General features: G+C 38.5%; 1 protein-coding gene across 11 annotated transcripts in view, besides 2 other annotated features; it reads left to right on the top strand.

The window, feature by feature from the left end:
• The window catches only part of EXOC6B (exocyst complex component 6B), a 650050-nt gene that overhangs the window by 185610 nt on the left and 440256 nt on the right, over positions 1–24184 (top strand). The window lies entirely within an intron of this gene.
• Positions 525–1253: an enhancer, noted in NCBI's record as "H3K4me1 hESC enhancer chr2:72866300-72867028 (GRCh37/hg19 assembly coordinates)". NCBI's record gives its function as "activates a minimal SCP1, AML or CMV promoter by ChIP-STARR-seq in naive H9 embryonic stem cells {active_cell/tissue: H9 hESC(naive)}" and the evidence as "EXISTENCE:reporter gene assay evidence [ECO:0000049][PMID:30033119]".
• Positions 1254–1983: an enhancer, noted in NCBI's record as "H3K4me1 hESC enhancer chr2:72865570-72866299 (GRCh37/hg19 assembly coordinates)". NCBI's record gives its function as "activates a minimal SCP1, AML or CMV promoter by ChIP-STARR-seq in naive H9 embryonic stem cells {active_cell/tissue: H9 hESC(naive)}" and the evidence as "EXISTENCE:reporter gene assay evidence [ECO:0000049][PMID:30033119]".

Here is a 24184-nt window from a genome sequence, read left to right as displayed (position 1 = left end):
GTTCCTTTCTCCCTATCTCTTTCAGGACACCAAAGAGTTGTAGATTTGGTCTCTTTACATAATCCCGTATTTCTTAGAGGTTTTGTTTATTCCTTTTCATTCTTTTTTCTCTATTCTTGTCTGTCTTATTTCAGAAAGCCAATCTTCAAGCTCTGAGATTCTTTCCTCTGCTTAGTTCATTTTGATATTAATAATTGTGATTGCATTGTGAAATTCTTATAGTGTGTTTTTCAGCTCTATGAGTTCAGTTACCATCTTTTCTATACTGGCTGTTTTGTCTCTTGGCTCCTGCATTCTTTTTTCCATGATTTTTAGCTTCCTTAGATTGAATTTCAACATACTCCTGTAGCTCAATGATCTTCATTCCTATCCATATTCTGAATTCTGTTTTTGTCATTTCAGCCATCTCAGCCCCGATCAGAACCCTCGCTTGAGAGGTGGTGCCATTGTTTGGAGGAAAGAAAGCACGCTGGCTTTTTGAGTTGTCAGGCCTCTTGTGCTGATTCTTTCTCATCCTTGTTGGCTTATCTTCCTTTAATCCTTGAGCTTGCTGACCTTTGGATAGGTTTTTTTCCTTTAATCTATTGATGACTTTGAGAATACGATTGTGGTATAAGGTGGATTCAGCCGACTGGCTTTGTTTCTGGAAGATTTTAGGGGGCCAACACTTAGCTCCCAACTCCTGGACTATGTACTCTAATTCTGGGGGACTTGTATTGGGCTCTAACTTTTTTCTCTGGCTTCTCAAGGTTAGGAATCCACTGTGTTGGTAAGGGGTCCTTATGTGCTCCCAGACTGCTGGTCACTACACTGTGATAAGTGGTGTCAACCATAACGTTTGGTAGTGCAGTGACAGTGGGATTTGTCCTTGTTTGCACATGGATGGCAGCAGCAGCAGTAGTGGAAGCTGTGGCAAACTGCTAGTGGGTGCCAGGGTGTCTGCCTCCATGCCGGCATTCACCACAGTGGCAGAGGCAATGCAGTTTGGGGGTGTACGGGGCCCTTGATGGCAACTTTGTGCAGTCATGCCGGAGGTGGTGTTGGATCAGGGGCAGGGTGCTGGCAGGTGCATTTCTGGGTGCCTTCTCTGTGCCCAGGAAGCAGGAGTGGTCACCCAGCATAGGGAAGGATGTGCCATTCTCTTCGCAGTGTTAGTGTAAGGATGGGGCACTAGTGGGGTCAGGGCTGTCTCACTCTGTCTGCCAAGACTCCATCTGAAACCTGGTTGGCAGGGGGAACACTGTACTCAGGTGTGCTGTTGTGGCAAGGAAAGCAAAACCCGCCTGTGCAGACACCACCAGCAAAGCAATGTGGGGAGCTGCTGTGGGCCCAGAGGAAGCTGCAGTATGGGGAGGGAGACTGTGAGATAGTGCATGGTCACAGGGGCTGCCCTACTCAAGCTCTTCCCTGGTAAGGCACTGTCTGCCAGTGTAGAAGCTATGGTACATGCCCCCAGGGCACCTGAGGTTGCCCTGCAAGGAGGCGTGGCCAGGCTGGAAGAGGGCAGCTGACCAAGGGGTGCTCATGTTGGTCTGGCCCTGTCTGATGGGCAAGACAACCCTGCAGAGTTCAGGACCCCTAGGGCTAAAGTCTCCTATGGAAGCACGTTGAGCCTAGGGGGATGGCTATTCTTGGCCATGCTCCACTACAGACACTCTTGCACCAAACCCTCTAGGCTCCACATGAGCTGGCTTGCTGCCCCTACCACTTCTCTAAGCAGCTCTCGCTGCCAACTCGAGTGTCTGTGGTGGTTGAGGCATCTCCTCCTGCCGGGGTTCCAGAGACCCATGATGAGAACAGGTTGCTCCTTGCCAGTTCAACTCACCCATTCTCCTGGGGCTATTGTGGGCCAGGAACGAGTCCGGGTATGCTGCAGCCTCATGTAGGGTTCCCAGCTTTCTGTCCCTCCAGCCTAGCTTCTGTGTCTTTCCCTCTGTTCACTCTCGGTACCTTCTCTCAGAAGATCTGTTTGGATTATACCAGTTGTCTTGTCCCTCGGTAGGAGCTGTGCCACCTTGTTGCATCTAGTCGGCCATCCTGCACTCCCCTCCAGGACACTTTTTATTACAGCTTCCATCTCATTACTTGTTACTGGTCTGTTCAGGTTTTAGATTTCTTCATTGTTCAACCCTAGTAAGTTGTTTGCATCTAGGAATGTATCCATGTCTTTTAAGTTTTCCCAATTTATCAGCATATAGTTGCTCATAGTAGCCTCTAGTGATCCTTTGAATTTCTGCCGTAATGGTTGTAATGTCTCCTTTTTCTTCTCTGATTTTATCTGTTTGGACCTTCTCTCTGTTTTTCTTAGTCAGGCTAAAGATTTGTTGATTTTATCTTTTCAGAAAACCAAGTTTTCCTTTCACTGATTGTTTGTATTGTTTTCTTTGTTTCAAGTTCATTTATTTCTGCTTTGATTTGATTTTTATTTTTTATTTTCTACTGATTTTGAGTTTTATTCACTCTTGTTTTTCTGGTTAAGATGCATGGTTAGATTTTTTTGTTGGAAGTTTTCCTGCTTTTTTGATATACTACTTTTGCTCTAAACTTTCTGCTTAGTACTACTTTCGCTGTATCCCAGAGGTTTTGGTATGTTATATTTCCATTATCATTTGGTTTCAGTTTTTTTTTTTTTTTGAGACAGAGTCTTGCTGTGTCACCCAGGCTGTACTGCAGTGGTGTGATCTTGGCTGACTGCAACCTCCACCTCCTGGGCTCAAGCTATCCTCATGCCTCAGCCTCCCCAGTAGCTGGGACTAAAGGCGAGTGCCACCATGCCTGGCTAATTTTTGTAATTTTTTGTAGATACAGGGTTTTGCCATGTTGGCCAGGCTGGTTTCAAACTCCTGACCTCAAGTGATCTGCCCACCTCTGCCTCCCAAAGTGCTGGGATTACAGGTGCGAGCCACTGCACCTGGCCAGACTATGAGACCTTTGGATAGGTTCTGTTCATGTCCTTTGCCCACTTTTAAATGGAGTTGTTTGTTTTTTTCTTGTAAATTTGTTTAAGTTCCTCATAAATGCTGTATATTTGACCTTCATTGGTGGATAGTTTGCAAAAATTTTGTCCCATTCTGTAGGTTGTCTCTTCTCTCTGATGATAGTTTCTTTTTGTACAGAAGCTGTTTAGTTTAATTAGATCCCATTTGTCAATTTTTGCTTTTGTTGCAATTGCTTTTGGCGTTTTTTGGAATTGACATATTTATTACTATATTTAGTCTCGCAATTCATGAATGCAATGTTTTTTTCATTTTGGTTTTTGACTTCTTTCATCAGTGTTTTGTTGTTTTTAGCATGTCCATTCTGTACATAACTTGTTAGGTTTATACCTTTGTATATCTTTTTGTTTTAACAATTTTTATAAGTGGTATTGTATTTTTAATTTCAGTGTCCACATGCTCATTGGTATCATGTTCAAATGAAATTGGTCTTTTGCTATCGATGTTATATGCTGTGACTTTGCTGAACTTATTTATTCGTTCTAGTAGTTTTTTTTTTTGTAGATTGCTTGGAATAATCTACATAGGTTATCATATCATTTGTAAATAGAGACAGTTTTATTTTTTCTTTTCTGATATGTGTGCTTTTTCTTTTTTTTGGCCTCATTGCAGTGGCTAGAATTGTACGTACTATATTGAATAGCAGTGGTTAGAATGCATATCTTTTTGTTCCCTGTCTTAGGTGGAAAATATTCAGCCTTTAACCATTTACTATGAAGTTTTTGTAGATTTTATCAAGTTAAGGAAATTCATCTCTATTTCTAGTATTCTGAGAATTTGTATCATGAATGGATGTTGGATTTTGTCAACATTTTTTTCTGCATCAATTGATTTGATCATATGGTGCTTTTTCTTCCTCTTCCTCTTTCTCTAGCACTGTGGCTGCTGCCGCCGCTGCCTCTTCTTCTTCCTTCTTTCTCTCCTCCTCCTCCTCCTCCTTCTCCTCCTTCATCTTTTTCTTCCTCCTCCTCCTTCTTCTTCCTTCTTCCTCCTCCCTCCTCTTCTCGTCCTCCCTCTCCTTCTTCTTCATCTTCCCTCCCTTCCTTGCTTCCTTGCTTCCTTCCTTCCTTCCTTCCTTCCTTCCTTCCTTCCTTCCCTCCTTCCCTCCCTCCCTCCCTGCCTCCCTCCCTGCCTTCTTCCCTCCATTTTTCCTTCCCTTTTTTTCTTCCTCTTCCTCTTCTTGTCTTCTTTATTTTTAAAAGATATTTAATACATGGTTTCACTGTCACCTAGCTGTAATGCAGTGGCATGATGATAGCTCATTACAGCCTCAAACTCCTGAGGTCAAGCCATCCTCCTGCCTCAGCCTCCTGAGTAGCTGGAACTGCAGATGCATGACACTGCACCTGACTAATTTTTTAAAGAAATTTTTTGTTTCTTATAGCCTAAGCCTATGTTGCTTAGGCTTTTCTTGAACTTCTGGCCTCAAGTAATCCTACTGCCTTGGCCTCATTTTTCTTCTTTAGATTTCCTTTCTTCTGTTGTATCTTTAGTCTGTTAATATGATGTATCACATTAATTTATTTTTCAAATAGTCAAGCAACCTTCCATTCCTGGAATAAACCCTACTTGGTCATGGTGTATAATTCCTTTTGTAAATTGCTGAATTCTGTTTACTTGTATTTTGCTAAGGTATTTTTATCTAAATGCATGAAGGATATTGGTTTGTAGTTTTCTATTTTAGTACTGTCTTTGTCTGGTTTTGACATCAGTGCTTCATAAAATGAGTTGGAGAGGTATTCCTTCCTCTTCTGCTTTCTGGAAAAGATTGTGTAGAATTGGTGTTAATTCTTCTTAAAATGTTTGGTGGAATTCTCTATTGAAACCATATGCACCTGGAGATTTTTTAAGGGGAGATTTTTCAGTAAATCCAATTTCCTTCCCAGTTATAGGACTATTCAAATTATCTATTTAATATTGGGGGAAGGTGTGGTACTTTGTAGTTTTTGAGGAATTGGTCTATTTCATCTACTTTGTCAAATTTATATGTGTAGAGTCTTTTCTACCATAGCATTCCCTTATTATTCCTTTCATGTCTGCACAGCCCATGGTGATAGCCATTGTTTCATTCCTGATTTGTATTTTTTCTCTTTTTTTCATTGTCAGTCTTGTTTGAAGTTTGTCAATTTTACTAATATTTTCAAAGAACCACCTTTTTGTTTCATTGATTTTCTCTAACATTTTCCTGTTCTCAATTTAATTGATTTGTGTTTTTGTCCTTATGATTTTCTTCCTTCTGTGTATTTTAGAATTACTTTGCTTTTCTCTTTCTAGTTTTTTGAGGTAGAAGCTTAGATTATTGATTTGAGACTTTTCCTGTTTTCTAATGTATATACATGTAGTGCTAGAAATTTCCTCCTTGCATTAGCTATATCCTACTAATTTTGGTTTGGTTTATTTTCACTTTCATTCAGTTCTATGTATTTTTACTTTTTTTGAGATGTTTTCTTGACCCATATATTATTTAGAAGTTTTTTTTTTTGTTTCCAAGCATGTAGGAGATTCATTATTTTCAGAGATCACACCCTATGATTTCTATTTGTTTAAATTTGTTGAGATGTGTTTTGTGGCCCATAATATGGTCTATCTTTTTATATGTTCTGTTGATACTTGTAAAGAATGGGTATTTTTCTGTTGTTATAAGGACAGCACAAGTTTGAAACTTCAGCAGTTTGATTAAGGAGATGTGAACCTTTTTTGAACCTTATTCTATGAATGTCATTTAGATCTTGTTGCTTGATGGTACTGGTGAATTCTTCTATATCTTTGTTGATTTCCTAATTGTTCTACCAGTTGTTGAGGTGGAGGTGCTGAAGTCCCCATTTATAAGTGTGGATTTGTCTATTTCTGCTTACCATTCTATCACATGTCTGTTGACACCATGTAAGATTTCTTTGTTACTTTCTGTTGGTGTGTAAAATCCAAGCTCCCCACTCTGCCCTTTCTGACACCATCCCTAAGGTGGGGATGTGTTGGAGCACCAAATTATAGCCTGGAGGCATTGGAAGTCTTGGCTTCCTACTTGGTTTTTGGTGGGGTAATGATGGGGCTGCAGTATTTTAGTTGTACTTAGCGGGAAGAGGAGGAAAAGTGCATCTATTCTGTCTTCTTGAAATGAAAGTCTGTTTTTTCATTAGCATTTTTTACAGCTCTTACAAAATGTAAAAAACATTTTTAGCACTAGGATTGTACAAATACAGGCTATAGATTGGCTTTAAGTCATGGGCTGTAGTTTCTCAACATGAAAGCTGCCTGTATCTTACTAGTCTCTTCTTGAGTCTTTCTCCTACTTGCTCAGTTTGCTGCAACCACTGCCTTCTTCTTTTCTTCTTTCTTTTTTTAAGCTACCAATGTTTTGCCTGTCTTTGGACCTTCACGCATGCTCTTTTTTTTTCCCATCTGGATCGTTTTTATTTTCGTTGTCCTACTCTCCTATTTATTTTAAAGATTTTACCTTAAATATGTTTCCAAAGGGAGCTTTCTTGATCCTCAGCAATCTAAGTCAGATCCCTGCTCTACTTCATAACACTGTTAACTTTTACTTCATAGTACATATTGCAATATCTTATGCAAAATTTATTAGTGTGATTACTTGTTTAAAGTTTATTTTTATTCTCAGAAAACTTTAAGTTATTTAATGGGACAGACCCTGTTTTATTTATCAGCTTATACTGTCTTAGACACTTCAGCAGTTTGATTAAGGGGAAGTGAACCTTATTTGAGTCAGCTCCATGGTACTGTTCCAGGTGTTTTACCTGTATTTACATATGTGCCTATGTTTGCTAATTTAATGTTTAGATAAACCTATAAGGCAAATATTATTCTTTCTCTTTTACAGGTGAACATGCTGAAGCTCTAGGAGCTAAAGTAATTTATTGAAGGTTGGAAAGTTAGAATGGACCAGAGTCCATTTTGTTTTAATTACACCAGGGGTTCTCTCTGAGGCATCAAAATCTTGATGGATATAGGGCATGGGGGAAGTGATATTAAAACAGCAGCAGCAGTAGCAACAACAACAACAACAGCATACATTGTATGATCCTGCCTAATTTCTTCCAACAACAACAACAACAACATACATTGTGTGATCCTGGCTAATTTCTTCCAACAACAACAACAACAACATACAGTGTATGATCCTGCCTAATTTATTCCCCCGTTCCTGGGATAGGGGTAGGAGGTTGGAGGTCTCCAGGAATGTGCTTCTCTATTTGGAATCCTCGTGCCTCCACCTGATGGCAGACGGAATACTTTTTGTTAACTTGCTTAATATTTGATCACAAAGGCAGAATTTGTATTTTGCAATGAGTGGTAAAAAGAGTCAGAATGAAATACATGCTATAATATAAAGTAGAAAAAACAAAAATGTTAATGAGTATACCAGAAAGTGTACAAGTTCATTCTAGTTTCAGGAAGTTTGTTCACAAGGTATAGATTAAGAAAACTGGTGTCTGGTGGGTGCAGTGGCTCATGCCTGTAAATCCAACAATTAGAGAGGCTGAGGTGGGACGATCGCTTGAGGCCTTGAAGTTGAGACCAGCCTGAAGTTGAGACTCAAACTCTATCAAATATTAACAAATTAGCTGGGAATGGTGACACAAACCTGTAGTCCCAGCTATTTGGGAGGCTGAGGTTTGGGGATTGCCTGAGCCCAGGAGGTCAAGACTGCACTGAGCCATGATTGTGCCACTGTACTCCAGCCTGGGAGACTGTCTCAAAAAATAAAAAAATAAAAAAAAATTGAGAGAAGCTAGTGTTTGAGACTTACTTATAAGTATTTTTCATGTTGCTATCTATCCCATGCAAACATTACTTTTATTGAATGTTTGTTATTATCTAGAGAGTCATTATGGTATGTATCAGTAAATTATTTTTACTAAATGCTGGATGTTATATTATTTCCAGGTTTTAAAAAATATTAAAATACCAACTATATAACCATAACCATTTCCATATTTAAGATAATTTCTTTAGGATAGATTCTGAGAGATGGAGTTATTGGATTAAAGAATATAGACACATCTAAGGTTCTTCCTACACATTAAAAAGGAGTTTTCCAAATTGATATTTTACATTTACATTTTTACTGATTCTTTCAGAGAGCTTCTTTCATTGTACTCTTGCCAACAGATATTATTCTTTTCTTCAGTCTTTTAAAATTTCATAGGTTTTTAAAATTTTGCATTTCTAATCATTAGTAAGTCTAAATGTTTTAACACATGTTTATCCACTAGGTCTATTCCTCCTTTGTGAATTGTGTATTCATTTCCCATGTTCATACTTCTATTCTGTTGGGAAGTTGTGCTTAGCTTTTTTTTCTTTTTAAATCATCAGTTATATCCATTTTCATGTAGCATCACCTATTCATCTTTCTGACTTTTTTGATTTTCTATTTGTATATTTATATTTGATACTTTAAAAAATGGTTTGTATGTGTTTTCCTTCTTTATATAACTCTTTAATTCATTGGGAATTTACTTTAAATTGCTTTTCATGTTGGCATCACCATGCATTTGATAATCCTTGTATTCTGTTATGAATATGTAACCCCTGCAAAGTACATGTGTTTGTGCATTTTCTTTTACAGGTTTGGTGTCAGCTAAGCGTTATGATTGGATGGGGTGGGCCAGGCGTGGTGGCTCATGCTTGTAATCTCAGCATTTTGGGAGGCCAAGGCGGGTGGATTGCTTGAGCTTAGGAGTTCGAGAAAGCCTGGACAACATGGCGAAACCCCATTTCTATCAAAAATACATATATTAGCTAGGCATGGTGGTGCATGCCTGTAGTCCCAGCTACTTGGAAGGCTGAGGTAGGCGGAGCACTGGAGCCCAGGAAGTCAAGGCTTCAGTAAGCAGTGATCGTGCCATTGTACTCCAGCCTGGGTGACAGAGCAAGACCTTGTCTTTCTCTCTCTCTCTCTCTCTCTCTCTCTCTCTCTCTCTCTCTCTCTCTCTCTCTCTCTCTCTATATATATATATATATATATATATATATATATATACACACACACACACACACACATATACACACACTACTATATCACTCCATATATATATGTAGGATGGAGTGATAGAGTAAAGCCATAGAGGTCCTATATATTAACAGTGATATGGGATTATGGATAATTTATCTTTGACTCATTTAAATGTTACATTATTTTATAAACAGTGATGTATATATACACATATACATATATGTACACACACATATATACACATATGCATATATATATATATGCACACTTGCATACATCTACAAACACACACATTCCTATACTTTAGAACTATCAGTGAGCGTTAACTGTGCTCTAATTGCCTGTTCACACATTGTCATTTATTCTCTTCTATAACTATTTTGTTTTTTGTAGGATGTTCTGATTAGTGGTGGTAATGCAAAGTCATGATGAATGCACTGTTATGTAGTTTGCTATGTTGGGACATCACTTTGGGATTATTTAGTTTAGTTTGGTGATTTGATATAGTGCCAATGTTTCTCCTTTAGAGTTGACTACCGTGTCACTACATGATTACTCATATTGCTACTTCCTCCTGAGATTGGCACTTGGGCTTTAGAAATTTTTTTTCCATGGCACAAATACAGTTAGTATGATTTAGGATTGCTATTAATATTTCTACTATTTAATTGTTTAATTAACTAGCTCAAGAGTTCTTTTATGTTTTATTTTGACCTAGCAGTCACCCTGTATTTCCTAACTTTTGGCAGAATTATTGTTTTTAAAAATGTAGAAAGTTTTTTTTTCTTTTTGGAATGAAAATAAATATTTATTGTATCATGTGGAAGGGTATATAGAAGTTTGATGATCTCAGAATGAGATTCCAGAGGTCCTAGTGGAAGAGATGGGAGAAGAAGTCATGATCATGGGTAGAAATGGTTTTATTAGGACAGGTTTTGCATATTCAGTTAACTCCGGGAATTTAACAGGTATGAGAATGAGTGTAGAGAGGATAATGCAGGTCTAAGGGGAGTTAGTTACTGTTAATCTCTAGATGTTTATTTCCATGGGCAGTATAGGCCTGATCTTACCAAACCATAATTGTTTTTTTAAGAGATATTGACAACCTGGATGTTTGTGTGAATTCTCCTAATTTCTAAATATTGGTAGACCACACATTTGTGATCTCACACTTAGGAGATCCAGAGAGCATGTGGGGATGACTGGCTAGAGGATGATGCATGTTAGAGGGTTAGGCTTCAGTCACTGAGGTAAATGGATATGAGGCATGATGGAATTAGTCCCCAAAGCTTATGAAATGGTGGGTAACCAAACCTTTTGCTCCAGTCCTGAATGTTTACCTCTGGATTGGTTGGCTGCTTGAGGCTTGGCCTATATAATGCTACTCATGGCAAGCTGCCTAAGGCTTGCAATTTGTTGAGTATTAAGGACAAGAAGAAATTATAATAATGAGTATTATAATAGAGAAAGCATAATGTATTTCTGAATCTCAGAAGAGGAATATCTAACCCAGGTTTGAGTGATCAAAGGTTTCCTATAAAAAGTGGTGTATTAGCTGAGAGAAAGGAGTTTGATGAAGGTCAGGGCTCTGGGGATGGCATGTTGTGGGTAGAAGACAGAGTTTACAAAGCCTGAAGGCAAAAGTGGATGGTGCATTTACAAATTGGAAGGTAATTCACTTCTTGTAACTATTCTTCATTTTTAACATTGTTTTATACATCATTGCCATCCTAGTCAGTGTATTTATACAAGGTGAAGAAATAGGAATTGAATAAAAAGACCGATCAACAGACAACTGGTTGATTATAAGGCACAATGATAGATGAGTCTGTGAGAACAGAAGATTGCTGCTATTGTGTGGTAGGGTCCTTTGTGCTGAATACTGGCTTTTCCATCAGAATCAAAATGTTAAAGAGTATGCTCACTATATTTCCATTCATAGCAAATGAATATGATAAATAACAGAAACAAGATTCTGAGGGATCTTTACAGAATTTTGAATCTGGCTTCATCTAATAGAATTAAATTTTATCTTGAGTTATTGTGAAATTTCTATTCTTATATCTTAAATAACTAATTGTAAGTAGAGGTTGGAACAGTTTACAAGCAGTGCATGTGGGGAGGTGGAGGAGGCACTGCAATGTGGTTATTCAAAAAAGCCAAGGCTGTATGAATAGTACTGCTCTAGTTTCTGGATGAGCGAGGTGATAGGCCTGTTCTGTTCTGTTTGGAATACATCTGGAATGTTATATTTAGCTTTGTGTGTCACAGTTCAAGGGAATATAAGTGAAGCAGAATATCTTTGGGGACAGAAAATAGAATAGCATTCTAACAAGATACTACTGCATATGAAGGACTAAAGATGTTTTTAACCTAGAACACAGAAAACTTTTGTGGCCATCAAAATGGCTTCATATTTTAAAAGGGTTAAACATGGAAAATTGATTAGACTTGTATTGTTTTGACACCAAGAGGGTAATATTATATTACATGGATAGAGGAAGCTTTGCCATTGGAGAAAGATTAGGGCACAGGCAGAAAGTAAAGGGATTAGATTTTTGAGTGCCTTAAGTATATATATGTACTTTATATACATTTCTGCCTTAGTCATTTCTGGCTCTTGTAACAACGTACTGTATGTAGTCTCAATGGCTTATAAACAACAGAAATGTATTGCTCACAGTTCTGGAGGCTTAAAGTCCAAGATCAGAGTGCCAGCATGGTTGGGTTCTGGTGAGGGCCCTCTTCTGGGTTGCAGACTACCATCTTCTCATATCCTCATGTGGCTGAAAGACAGAGAGAGAGGTCTCTGGGGTTTCTTTTATAAAGGCATTAATCCTATTCATGAAAGCTCCACCCTCCTAAACCTCATCGCTGCCACAGACTCCACCTCCTAATACCATCATATTGTGGGTTAGGATTTCAACATATGAATTTTAGGGGTCACAAACAGCCTTTAACTGTTATGTTATATAATCCTATAAGACTCAATACATTGAAGATTAATTTAAAAATAATTTTCTAGGGCCAGGCATGGGAGCTCACACCTGTAATCCCAGTGATTTGGGAGGTTGAGACAGGAGGATCACTTGAGCCCAGGAGTTCGAGACCAGTATGAGCAACACAGTGAGACTCTGTCTCTACAAAAAATTAAAAGAAAAAATTAGGCAGCAGTGGTGGTGCATGCCTGTTGTCCTAGCTACTTGGGAGGCTGAGGTGGGAGGATTGTTGAGCCCAGGAGTTTGAGGCAGTAGTGAGCTATGATTGTGCTTCTGTACTCCAGCCTGGGGGACAGAGCAAGATCCTGTCTCAAAAAATAATAACAATAATAATTTTCTACAAAATCATTTTCTCCAAAAGCATCTCTATAAAAACTTCTTATAAAATATTATTTTATAAAATACTGTTTAAAATTTGGAAATTCCATGTTTGCTTAAAACTGCATTTAAAAAGTGATTTCTCCACTTCAAATGGCTTCTAAATCCTACCCCTATAAAAGTAAGAACAACAAATGTATTCACAAAAATTCATACATCACAAAAATAACACAACAAAAATGGGAGCTGTGTGCAGTGGTGCATGTTTATAGTTCCAGCTACCTGGCAGGGTGAGGTGAGAGGATTGTTTGAGCCCAGGAGTTTGAGTCCTGCCTGGGCAACATAACTAAAAATGAGAAATAGAGGAATTTCTTGCGAGTTAATTTCCTAACCTTGACCTAATGCACCAGGGACACACAGATCATCTTCTCTCCAAAAAGAGAGATTGCATGGAAAAAAAATAGCCTTCTGCTAGGGCTCCATAAAGTGAATACATCCAAGGTGGCCAAATTATGCATGGAAACTGATAACACTCTTCATTACCAACTCATGTAAGAACTTTTATTATTAACTTTATTGATTTTTTCTTTGAATATAAAAATATAATACTTTTTACTTGAAACTAACTGTATCCAAAAAACTTACCTATCACAGGAATGATTTATATGGATGGAATACTGGTTGCATAAGAATCTGTGCAGCATAGTTTGTCAAATTACAAAGATTCTGCTGTATTATCGGCAATTCATTGTACAGTCAGGCAATGGTCTCTGATGTGGCACCAGTAAAGGGAACACTGTTGAAATGCAGAGTGTTTTTAATATGTACATTTGCAAAGTCTTAGACTCAACTAGAGAAGGAATTTGGTTTGACTTTCAGTAATCTGAGAAGCAGAGATGAAGAGAGGAAAAATTTTGCATGCAGAATAGCAGTCAGAACAGCTAAAGAAAAACAAGACACTGATTTTTCATTTTGCTTACTAAAAGTCTGTGTAGGAATTCTGCCCTCCATCCTCTATCTTCATAACAGCTCAGAAATTGACTTCTCCTTCCCTAACTACAAAACATATGTTATTTATCTGATACATTGTCTTCCTCCATAAATCTTCAACCCACCCACCCTCTGCAATAGAATACTCATTTAGGCTCATTAAAAAGAAATTAAAGTTTCTTCTGAATACTATTATCTGTCTAATAAGGCATAGACCAGAATCCTCTTAATTAAAATCATTGTGCAGCAGGGATCAATCTTTAGCCCACAGCATAAGACTGAATATATATTAGGTGGCTAACAAATATATTAAAAAACAATATAAAAACAAAAAAGGGGTTTTCTCCCATTTAAGTAGATTCTGGCATAGTGGGGAGGGAAAACGCTCTTCCTTCTCATACTTGGCAGTGTTTAATGGTATGTAGAAATTATGCCAGTTAGATACCAAAAAGTGTTAAAAGGTCATAATTTTGTCTTTGTCGTTATTATCTACTTGAGAAGACAAAACTATTACACATAGAAACTAACATGATGGTATATAAATAGCAAATAAACACAAACATCCTAGGCAGTTCCTAGTGAAGGTGATCAGAAAAGGGAGCGGCTACTGTTGATGGAATGGTCAAGGAAAGCTAAATAAGAGAATTCATAGCATCTCACAGTTTGAAAGGACTCCAAAATCATCTTGTCTGATAACCCATTTAAATCTAGAGAAGATACCTCTAAAAATTAGAACCTAACATCTTTGGATGAGGCTAAATCATAAAATATTTCTTAATTTAGATTTGAGATCTATTATGCCAGCTATTTATTATTTTCAGATGAACTCCAAATACAATTAGGAGTTGCTGAAATCTTGTTAGACAGTGTTTTTTCTCTTCTTGATTAAATACAGCTAGATGAATGCTGAAAGAGCCTTTCACTTCTATTGTTGAATGTGAGTTCATCTACAAGAATGAATTGAGGATTATCTTTATTTCACTTTTTCATATTCTTTATGTGAAAAAATAAGTTTTGAAAATTTTTTATTATTTTTCTGGGTTTGGTGAGGTTTCTGGGAGATTGGGAAAAACATAGCTTTAGATTGCTTGACTTATGTATATAGTCCTGATGTGGAAAAGGAAGGGCTGCTGTTAAATTCTGAATGAGGGTAAATTCAAAAGGAAGGAATAGATTAGTAGGAACTTCGAAGGATAGCCAGAACATATAAGTTTAGTCTCTTTGAAACCATGTAAAAGTAATAGTTTTGTAAAAAACCACAGTAAATTCAGTTGAAAACCATTGTTTAGTGTAAATGATGACCACATGTGAATTGGAGGTGAGGATATTCCTGAACATAGGTTTGTAATAATCCGCTGTGGTGGTCTTGTAGCACTAGAAGGAAAATAGGAATATCCTCTGATATTTATACAATTCAGTAAAAGACCAGCAGTCTCAAGAGAATACATTACATTTGGGATCTTGGACAAAAGTGTAGGAATTTGGAGGTAATTGGTATGGCCTGGAGCCTTTCTTGGCATATGCTAGCAAATTTGGGAGGAAAAAGTTCTCTTTCCAGATGTGTTACTTGTGAGTTTCTCATTATCTGCTGGAATGAGGACAATAGGGGAAACTAGAAACTGACGTTTCCTTGTCCTCTTTATGGACAGGAAAGGGGGCCAATCCCTCTCCAGAGTCTGGCAATCAATTTTGTGTGAGAGAGAACAGTAAGCAGTGAAAGTAGCAGAGCTGTTTTGAGGGTTCTGGACATGTGTTTAACTATGTAATTATAGGCAAATATGAAAAGACTATTTCAGTTTCATTTAGAATTTGATAAATGAATAAATGTTAAACAGTACTGAAAGTCTTTTTTAGGTATATATATATATTTTTAGGTATATATATACACATATACATATATATTCATATATATATGTATTTTAAACTCTCTAGGCTAGGTGTGGTGGCTCATGCCTGTAATCCCAGCAGTTTGGGAGGCTGATGTGGGAGGATTACCTGACGCTAGGAGACCAGCCTGAACAATATAGCGAGATTCTGCCTCTGCAAACAAAAAACAAAACAAAACAACCCACCCCCCCCCCAAAAAAAAACTTCTATATGTTCTTGCATAAATAAAGGTTTGGAAAGACAGGTTGCTAGGCTGTTATCATTGATTAGGAGGTAGAAGAGTATAAAATGCTGTGTGGACTCTATAGGCAGACAGTCCATTTCAAATCTGAACTTTGTTACTTGAAATTTATGTGACCTTGTAACACCTAACCTACTGGTGTCTGTTTCTTCTTTTATAGGTTTGATATAAAAATTAAATAAGATAACATGTGTAATCTACTTAGAATGGTACCTGGCTAGTGGTAGGTACTATATAAATGCTTTTTGTTGTTGTTGTTGTTATCGTTTTTAAGAAACAGGGTCTTGCTCTGTCATCTACGCTGGAGTGCAGTGGTGCAATCATAGCTCACTGCAGCTTTGAAGTTGTGGGCTCAAGTGATTTTTCTGCCTCAGTCTCCTGAGTAGCTAGTACTATAGATATGTGCCACTATGCCTGGCTAAATTTTTAAAAATTCTTTTGTAGTGGTGATCTTGCTATGTTGTTGCCCAGGGTGATCTTGAATTCCTGGTCTCAAATGATCCTCTTGTCTTGGCCTCCCAAATTGGCAGGATTACAGGAGTGAGACACTGCACCCGGTCAAAATCAGAGCATCTTATTTTTATAAGTAAGATCATTGTATTTTATTTTAGAAGCACTTATGCCAGGTGCAGTGGCTCACGCTTATAATCCCAACACTTTGGGAGGCCCAGGAAGGAGGATACCTTGATGCCAGGGGTTTGAGACCAGCCTGGGCAATATAGCAAAACCCCTGTCTCTACAAAAAATAAAAAAGAAAATTAGGCAGGGATGGTGGTGCATGCTAGTTGATGGGCGGATCACTTGAGCCCAGGAGTGTGTGCCACTGCATTCCATCCTGGGTGACAGGGCAAGACCCTGTCTCAAAAAAGGAAAAAAAAAAGATGATCTGATTTTGATCTGAGGGGAGAAAATATAGAGTTGCTCTTCATATCTTCATCCTTTATTTTAGCTTCATTTCAGAGGACTAAAAACAGTAAATAGATTAATTGTCTTTCGGCATTTAGTTTTTTGTTATCTGCTATAGAAGTATAACCAGAGGTAGCTCACTCATTATGTGTACTGCTACGAACTGCAGGTACAGTATCAAAGTTGACTTCTAGGTGCCTGTCTGGAGTTGGCTAGCAGGATTGTGCATTTATCATAGAAGGAGTTTATGGGAAGGTTACAGCAAGAATAGGAATAGAAGTACTTACTTTCAAAGTTGTGTTGCTTTTTGGCAGTATGGGGATGTGGAGGCTGTAAGAGTAAAACTTTTTGAACCTTTTGAATAGGAGATATTTAATCTGAGGTTATGGAACAGATGAATAACTCAGTGGTTGAGTCTAATTAAGGTGCTGGTCAGCTGGGTCATTGACAGGGCACTGAAACATTATGGGAGCAGATATACTTGAATAAATCTGTGGAGTTGGGGGGTAGTGACTAATAATAAAGGGAATGTTAAAATAATAGATTACTTTGGCAGTTTTCTCTAAGGAAGTTAGAATTGGTTAGTTGAAGGGCATTGTTTCTGTATTCTGTTTTTCAGTTTGGGGCCTAAACTCAATAGAGGTAATAGAGAAGATGCTAAGCTCTATTTCTGTTGTCCTTTTCTGTACTTACTCATATAGCATTTACCCTGGTGTCTAAATAAATGTTGAGCAAATACTTAAAGTATATCTGTTTGAACAAGTGTCAATTCTGATTTTGCCAATGTATCTCTAGCCCTCTAAAAGAGTTCTAGGTTAGAGGTATAGATATGTAAATCTATAGGGTGCATATATGATAGATGAAGATATGACCTTGGAAGAGAACACCCCACTGTAGACTGAGAAGAGGAGAATACTCAGGATAATTTTTTTAATGGATTTTTTTATTTCTATATAAACTTTTCAGAAAAGTATTATATCCATACATCAAAGCTATACATAAGTGATAGCTTAAATGTATTTTCACAAAGTGAACATACCCATTTGACCAGCACCCAGATCAAGATACCGAATATTATTAGTGTCCCAGCAGCTCCTCTCTTGCCCCCTTCCAGTTCAGTCCCTATAACCTTTATCTTGATTGGATCCTAGGGTATGCATATGTTCGGCTGTAGTAGATACTACCAATCAGTTTCTCAAAGTAGTTGTACTAATCTATAGTTCTACCAACAGAATATGAGAATTCTGGTTGTTTCACATTCTAACTACACTTGGTATTTTCATATTAATTTTAACCTTTCTTATGACATTATGTTATTTATTTGTATATTTCCCTAATAACTAATGATGTTTTCATATATTTATTGGCCATGTGGATATCCTCTTTTTTTAATTTTTACTTTGAAACAGGGTCTGGGCTCTGTCACCCAGGCTGGAGTGCAGTGGCAAGATCACAGCTCACTGCAACCTCTGCCTCCTGGGCTCAAGTGATCCTCCCACCTCAGCCTCCAAACTAGCTGGGACCACAGGCATACGCCACCACACCTGGCTAATTTTTGTTTTGTAGAGATGGGGTTTTGCCATGTTGCCCAGGCTGGTCTCAAACTCCTGAGCCCAAGCTGTCCACCCTCCTTGACCTTCCAAAGTGCTGGGATTATAGTCGTGAGCCACCGTGCCCAGCCTGGATAGCTTCTTTTACAGAATGTTCACTTTCTTTTACTTCATATAGAAACATTTTGGTTGTTTGTCTTTTTCTTAATAATTTATGAGTTCTTCATATATTCTAAATTTTGAGTAGCTTTTAAAACATTTGTGGATCTTACTGTGTGCAGATTCTAATTAAGTTGATCTGGGGTGGGGCTGAGAAGAGTTTTTTTTTTTTGTACTTCATCAGTTTTTTAAAATGTTATTTATAAGATATAAACTTATATAAACTTCATGTGTGTAATATGAAAATAATCTTTTCCCATTCTAATCCTATAATATTACAGGTAGTCATTGTAATGATTTAACATATATTCTTATAAACTTTTTTCTATACCAATATAATTTTTTTCTTTCTTTTTTTAAAAATGAAAGTTATTTCTTTCCTCACTTATTGTGGCATGGACATCTTTTTAAGTTAATGTATAAACATCTTAATTAAAAATTTAGTTTTAATTGACAAGTAATACCTCATTTTTTTGAAGTATGCTGAAGAAGTTGTCTTTCCTAGTGTTTATTGGTCCACATTAAAATATCCGACAATGCTTTTCCAGGATGCCAAGCTCTTCCTTTGATGAGATGGGGTTAAATTTCAGTAATATCATCATACATGATTTTATTGATTATTCTATATGTATCTGATTCATCTGTATTAATGTACATGTGAGACAAAGAATTCTAAATTGGTTTCATTTTGAAGTGTAAACATTTGGTTGTCCAGCTACCTCATCTGTCCTCCTTTTTATAAAAGGAAAAAATATATATATTTCCTTTCAAATTTCAACTTTTATTTTAGATACAGGGGATACGTATAGATTTGTTACATAGGTATATTTTACCCAGGTAGTGAGCATAGTACCCAATAGGTAGGTTTTCAACCCACATCCCCCTCCCTAATTTCCCCCATAGTAGTCCACAGTGTTTATTTTTCCCATGTTTATGTCCATATATGCTCAGTGTTTGGCTACCACTTATGAGTTAGAACATGCAGTATTTGGTTTTCTGTTCCTGCATCAGTTTGCTTAGGATTATGGCCTCCAGCTCCATCCATGTTGCTGTAAAGGTAGTAATTTCATTCTTTTTTATGGCTTCATAGTATTCCATGATATATATATACCACATTTTCTTTATCCAGTCCACAAGTGATGGGCACTTAGATTGATTCCATGTCTTTACTATTGTGAATAGTGCTGGGATGAACATAATGGGTGCATGTGTCTTTTGGCATAGTGATCAAAATATTTTTCTTTGGGCATATACCCAGTAATGGAATTGATGTGTCCAGTGGTAACTCTACTTTAAGTTATTTGAGAACCCCAAACCGCTTTTCACAGTGGCTCAACTAATTTACATATCCACCAACAGTGTATAAGCGTTCCCTTTTCTCCATAGCTTTGCCATATCTGTTGCTTCTTGACTTTTAAATAATAGCCATTCTGACTGGTATAAGATGGTATCTCATTGTGGTTTTGATTTGCGTTTCTCGGATGATCAGTGATGATGAGCATTTTTTTCATATTTTTGTTGGTTGCTTATATTTCTTCTTTTGAGAAGTGTCTGTTCATATCCTTCACCCATTTTTAATCGGGTTATTTGTCTTTTGCTTGTTGATTTGAGTTCCTTATAGATTCTGGATTTTAGACATTTGTCAAATGCATAGTTTATGAATATTTTCTTCCATTCTGTAGGTTTTCTGTTTATTTTGTTGATAGTTTCTTTTGCTGTATGGAAGCTCTTTAGTTTAACTTGCTTCCGGTTTTCAATTTATATTTTTTGTTGTAATTGCTTTTGTGGACTTTGCCAAAAATTCTTTGCCAAGGCGGATATTGAGCAAGGTATTAACTAGGTTTTCTTGTAGCATTTTAATAGTTTGAGGTCTTTTAAATTTAAATTTAAAATTTAAATTTAAAATTATTTAAATTTCTTTTATTTAAATTTCTTATTTAAATTTCTTTTATTTTTATTTTAAGTTCAGGGTTACAAGTGCAGGATGTGCAGGTTTGTTACATAGGTAAATGTGTGCATGGTGGTTTGCTGCATAGATCATCCCATCACCTAGGTATTAAGCCCAGCATCTATTAGCCATTCTTCCTGATGCTCTTCCCTGCCCCCCACCACCCACAACATCCCCACTGCATCCTGTGGCTTGAAGTCGGGTTCCAGCTGGGCTGGAGGATCTGTTGTGGCTCCTGGGTCACTGGGAAATTACTTAGACATAGCAACACACTCAGCCTGGGCTGCAGAGGCTGCCCATATCCCTTTGGGAGGCACTGACCTCTGACCCAGAAGATAGTGAGGCCAGCTTCCTCGAAGGACTGGGAGGAATAGATGCACCTCAGTCTGGCTTGGGTTAGTGAGCAGGAGGACTTGCAGAATGGATGCACCCCAGTCCTGCGGGGAAGCCGTCCTTTCTCTGTTCTTCATCAGAGGTCAGTTGGGGCAGTGCCTGCCAGAGGGATATGGGAAGTCCTAGGGGATGGGTATCTATGGCCACTCTCCACCAGAGCTGCCCAGCACACAGAAGCTCCCAGGCTCTGTGTCATCTGAAAGCCTGTCTCTGCCTGCTCCCTGGGGAGATCCCCCTGCTAGCTCACACATCAATCAGGGATGCAGAGTCTCCTGTTGCTAGGATCCCAGAAGTCTGTTGTGAGAGTGAGCTGTCCCTCAGTTCCCTCACTTACCCTTTTCATAGGAGCCATTAGAGGTATTCAGGTATCATTCAGGGCTTCCAGATTTCCCCCTCTTCAATCTCGACTTTGGTGCTGACTCTCTCACTATTCTTGATGTTTTCTCTTCAAAGATCTGCCCAAATTATGGTGGTTTATTCCATACTTTGGTCTGTCTTCTTGGTAGTGGTGTTTCCTGGCTGCCTTTTATCTGCCATCCTGTTCTCCCTCCTCCTCATTCTTTTTAAAATACACTTAATTTTCTACTGTATTATAAGTTACTCATATGTTATCCTGTCTATGAATGTCTCAAATTTTTTTCTCTTTTTCCATTTTTTTAATGGATGGACAATCCATGGGAAATGCTGCCATGAACAATCTTTATTTTTGTAATTAGGTATAATGCTTTTGCCAGTAAAACAATATAAGAAAACCCAACTCGACTCTTTTAATCAAAAAAGGAAATGATTGGGTCATTGTTTCATACAGGAAGATGTGATCTATGTTGGTTTGATCCAGTGGGTCCAACTTAATCTCTCTCTCTCTCTCTCTCTCTCTCTCTCTGGCTGTGTATTTCTCTGTCTTTGTTCTTAGGCTGGCTTTCCATGTGGTAGGAGAATGGCTGTAACATTTCCAGGTCTCGTAGCTGCAACCTCAAGAAGAGCTTTTCTGTTGTTCAACAGCTTTTCTGTTGGCTTTCCTTTAAGAGCAACAAAGCTTCTCTTCCAGTTGTTCATTAGCAACACTATTTTACTCGGTTGGCCTAGATTAAGTCACATGCTAATTCCTAAATCAGTTCCTGTTATCAAGGGAATTTCAGTTGCTAATTGGCTGAGACTTGGGTCTCAGAACCAATGAGTATGGTAAGGAGTTGGGATTACCTTTGTACTTAGCAGGGTGCTGAGAGTAGGGTTAGTTTCCAGAATTACCCTGGTTGAATGGAAGAGGATGAAATCTTAATTGAGAATTTCAGGTTAAGAAGGGGATGAGTGTAGAGGAATGGATGTAGGTTAAGCAAGCAGCAACATGTACCACATCCATCTTTTTTTCCATTCATGTTAATATTTCCTTGATAGACATGGTATTGCAGGCTCATAAGGAATGCTTTAATAGGCACTAACGAATTGCTGTGAAAGACAAATACATTAGACAGATGATTTTATTCAGGCTATTACAATAGGGAGAATGTTCATTAATGAAGAATATCTCAAGAAGGGAAATCTTGGGGTGCTATATGAAAAAAGGAGTCATTGAAGAAGGGTATAGGTGGGTCTTATTTTGGAATATGTGAAGATGTCATTGTCCTTTGTGGTTAGCTTTTTCTCAGAACACAATAATATGAAGGGATTTCTTTTCTTTTCTTTTCTTTTTTTTGAGATGGAGTTTCACTCTCGTCACCCAGGCTGGAGTGCAATGGTGCGATTTCGGCTTACTGCAACCTCCGCCTCCTGGGTTCAAACGATTCTCCTGTCTCAGCCTCCCAAGTGGCTGAGATTACAGGCATCTGCCACCAAGTCCAGCTAATTTTTGTATTTTTAGTAGAGACAGGGTTTCACCATGTTGGCCAGACTGGTCTTGAACTCCTGACCTCAGGTGATCCACCCCCCTCTATCTCCCAAAGTGCTGGGATTACAGGTGTGAGCCATTGGACCTGGCCGAAGGGATTTCTTAATCTTTCCTCTTTTCTAGGAGTGGAGGGCTCAGGTAAATTTCAACATTATCAGTCCCCACTTTTAGTCAAGATGAACTTACTGAACAACTAAGATGTCTTACTGAACAACTAAGAGGCAATCATAGACCTCCCGAATGGGGTGAAACAGGGTCTAAAAAAATAGTCTCTCATGAATTGTTTTTTTGTATTATTCCTGTAAAACTTGTTGAACCATCTGTTGAGAGTCTGTAGCAAAGATTAGAACTCTACAGGGTCTTGGCCGGGCGCGGTGGCTCAAGCCTGTAATCCTAGCACTTTGGGCGGCTGAGGCAGGCTGATCACTTGAGGTTGGGAATTTGAGACCACTGTGGCCAACCTGCTGAAACCCCATCTCTACAAAAAATACAAAAATTAGCAGGGCATGGTGTGGTGGGCACCTGTAATCTGGAGGTGGAGGCAGGAGAATTGCTTGAACCTGGGCAGTGGAGGTTTCAGTGAGCTGAGATCGCGCCTTTGCACTCCAGCCTGGGTGACAGAGCAAGACTCCTGCCTCAAAAAAAAAAAAAAAAAAAAAAGAAAAAAGATTTGAGCTTTGGGGACCCTCTGCCTAGATTTCAGAGAAAGTATGAAAATACCTGGATGCCCAGGCAGAAGTTTGCTGCAGGGGTGGGTCCCTCATGGAGAACCTCTGCTAAGGCAGTGTGGAAGGGAAATGTGGGGTCAGAGCCCCCACACAGAGTCCCTACTGGGACACCACCTAGTGGAGCTGTGAGAAAAGGGCCACCATCCTCCAGACCCCAGAATTGTGGATCCACCCACAGCTTGCACCATGCTCCTAGAAAAGCCACAGACACTCAACACCAGCCTGTGAAAGCAGCCAGGAGGGGGGCTATACCCTGCAAAGCCACAGAGGTGGAGCTGCCCAAGGCCGTGGGAGCCCACTTCTGGCATTAGAGTGACCTGGATGCGAGACATGGAGTCAAAGGAGATCATTTTGGAGCTTTAAGATTTGACTGCCCCACTGGATTTTGTGTTTGCATGGAGTCTGTAGCCTCTTTGTTTTGGCCAATTTCTCTCATTTGGAATGGCTGTATTCACCCAATGCCTGTATCCCCACTGTATCTAGGAAGTAACTAACTTGCTTTTGATTTTATGGGCTCATAGGCAGGAGGGACTTGCCTTGTCTCAGATGAGATTTTGGCCAGTGGACTTTTGAGTTAATGCTGAAATGAGTAAAGACTTTGGGAGACTGTTGGGAAGGCATGATTGGTTTTGAAATGTGAAGACATGAAATTTGGGAGGGGCTGGATTGGAATGATATGGTTTGGCTCTGTGTCCCCACCCAGATCTCATCTTGTAGCCTCCATAATTCCCATGTGTTGTGGGAGGGACTCGGTGGGGGATAATTGAATCATGGAGGCGGGTCTTTCCCATGCTGTTCTCTTGATAGTGAGTAAGTCTCACAAGATCTGATGGTTTTAAAAACTAGAGCTTCCCTGCACAAGCTCTCTCTTTGCCTGCTGCCATCCATGTAAGACGTGACTTGTTCCTTCTTGCCTTCAGCAATGAATGTGAAGCCTCCCCAGCCATGGAAACAGACTAATACACTGTAGTTATGTGAATTTATTTCTGAGTTCTCTGTTCTGTTCCAGTAGTCTGTGTATTTGTTTTTATGCACATACCCTGCTCACTTGGTTACTATAGCTTAGTAGTATATTTTGAAGTTAGGTAGTGTCATGTCTCCAGCTTTTGTTCTTTTTGCTCAGGTTTGCTTTGACTATTAAGGTCTTTTTTTTGCTCTTATATGAATTTCAGAATTTTTTTTTCTATTTTTGTGAAGAATGTCATTGGTA

The sequence above is a fragment of the Homo sapiens genome, chromosome 2 (genome assembly GCF_000001405.40).
Source record: "Homo sapiens chromosome 2, GRCh38.p14 Primary Assembly".
NCBI classification, from domain to species: domain Eukaryota; kingdom Metazoa; phylum Chordata; class Mammalia; order Primates; family Hominidae; genus Homo; species Homo sapiens.
The sequence above is the reverse complement of the archived record's forward strand: the minus strand, read 5'-3'. Positions and strand labels throughout refer to the sequence as shown.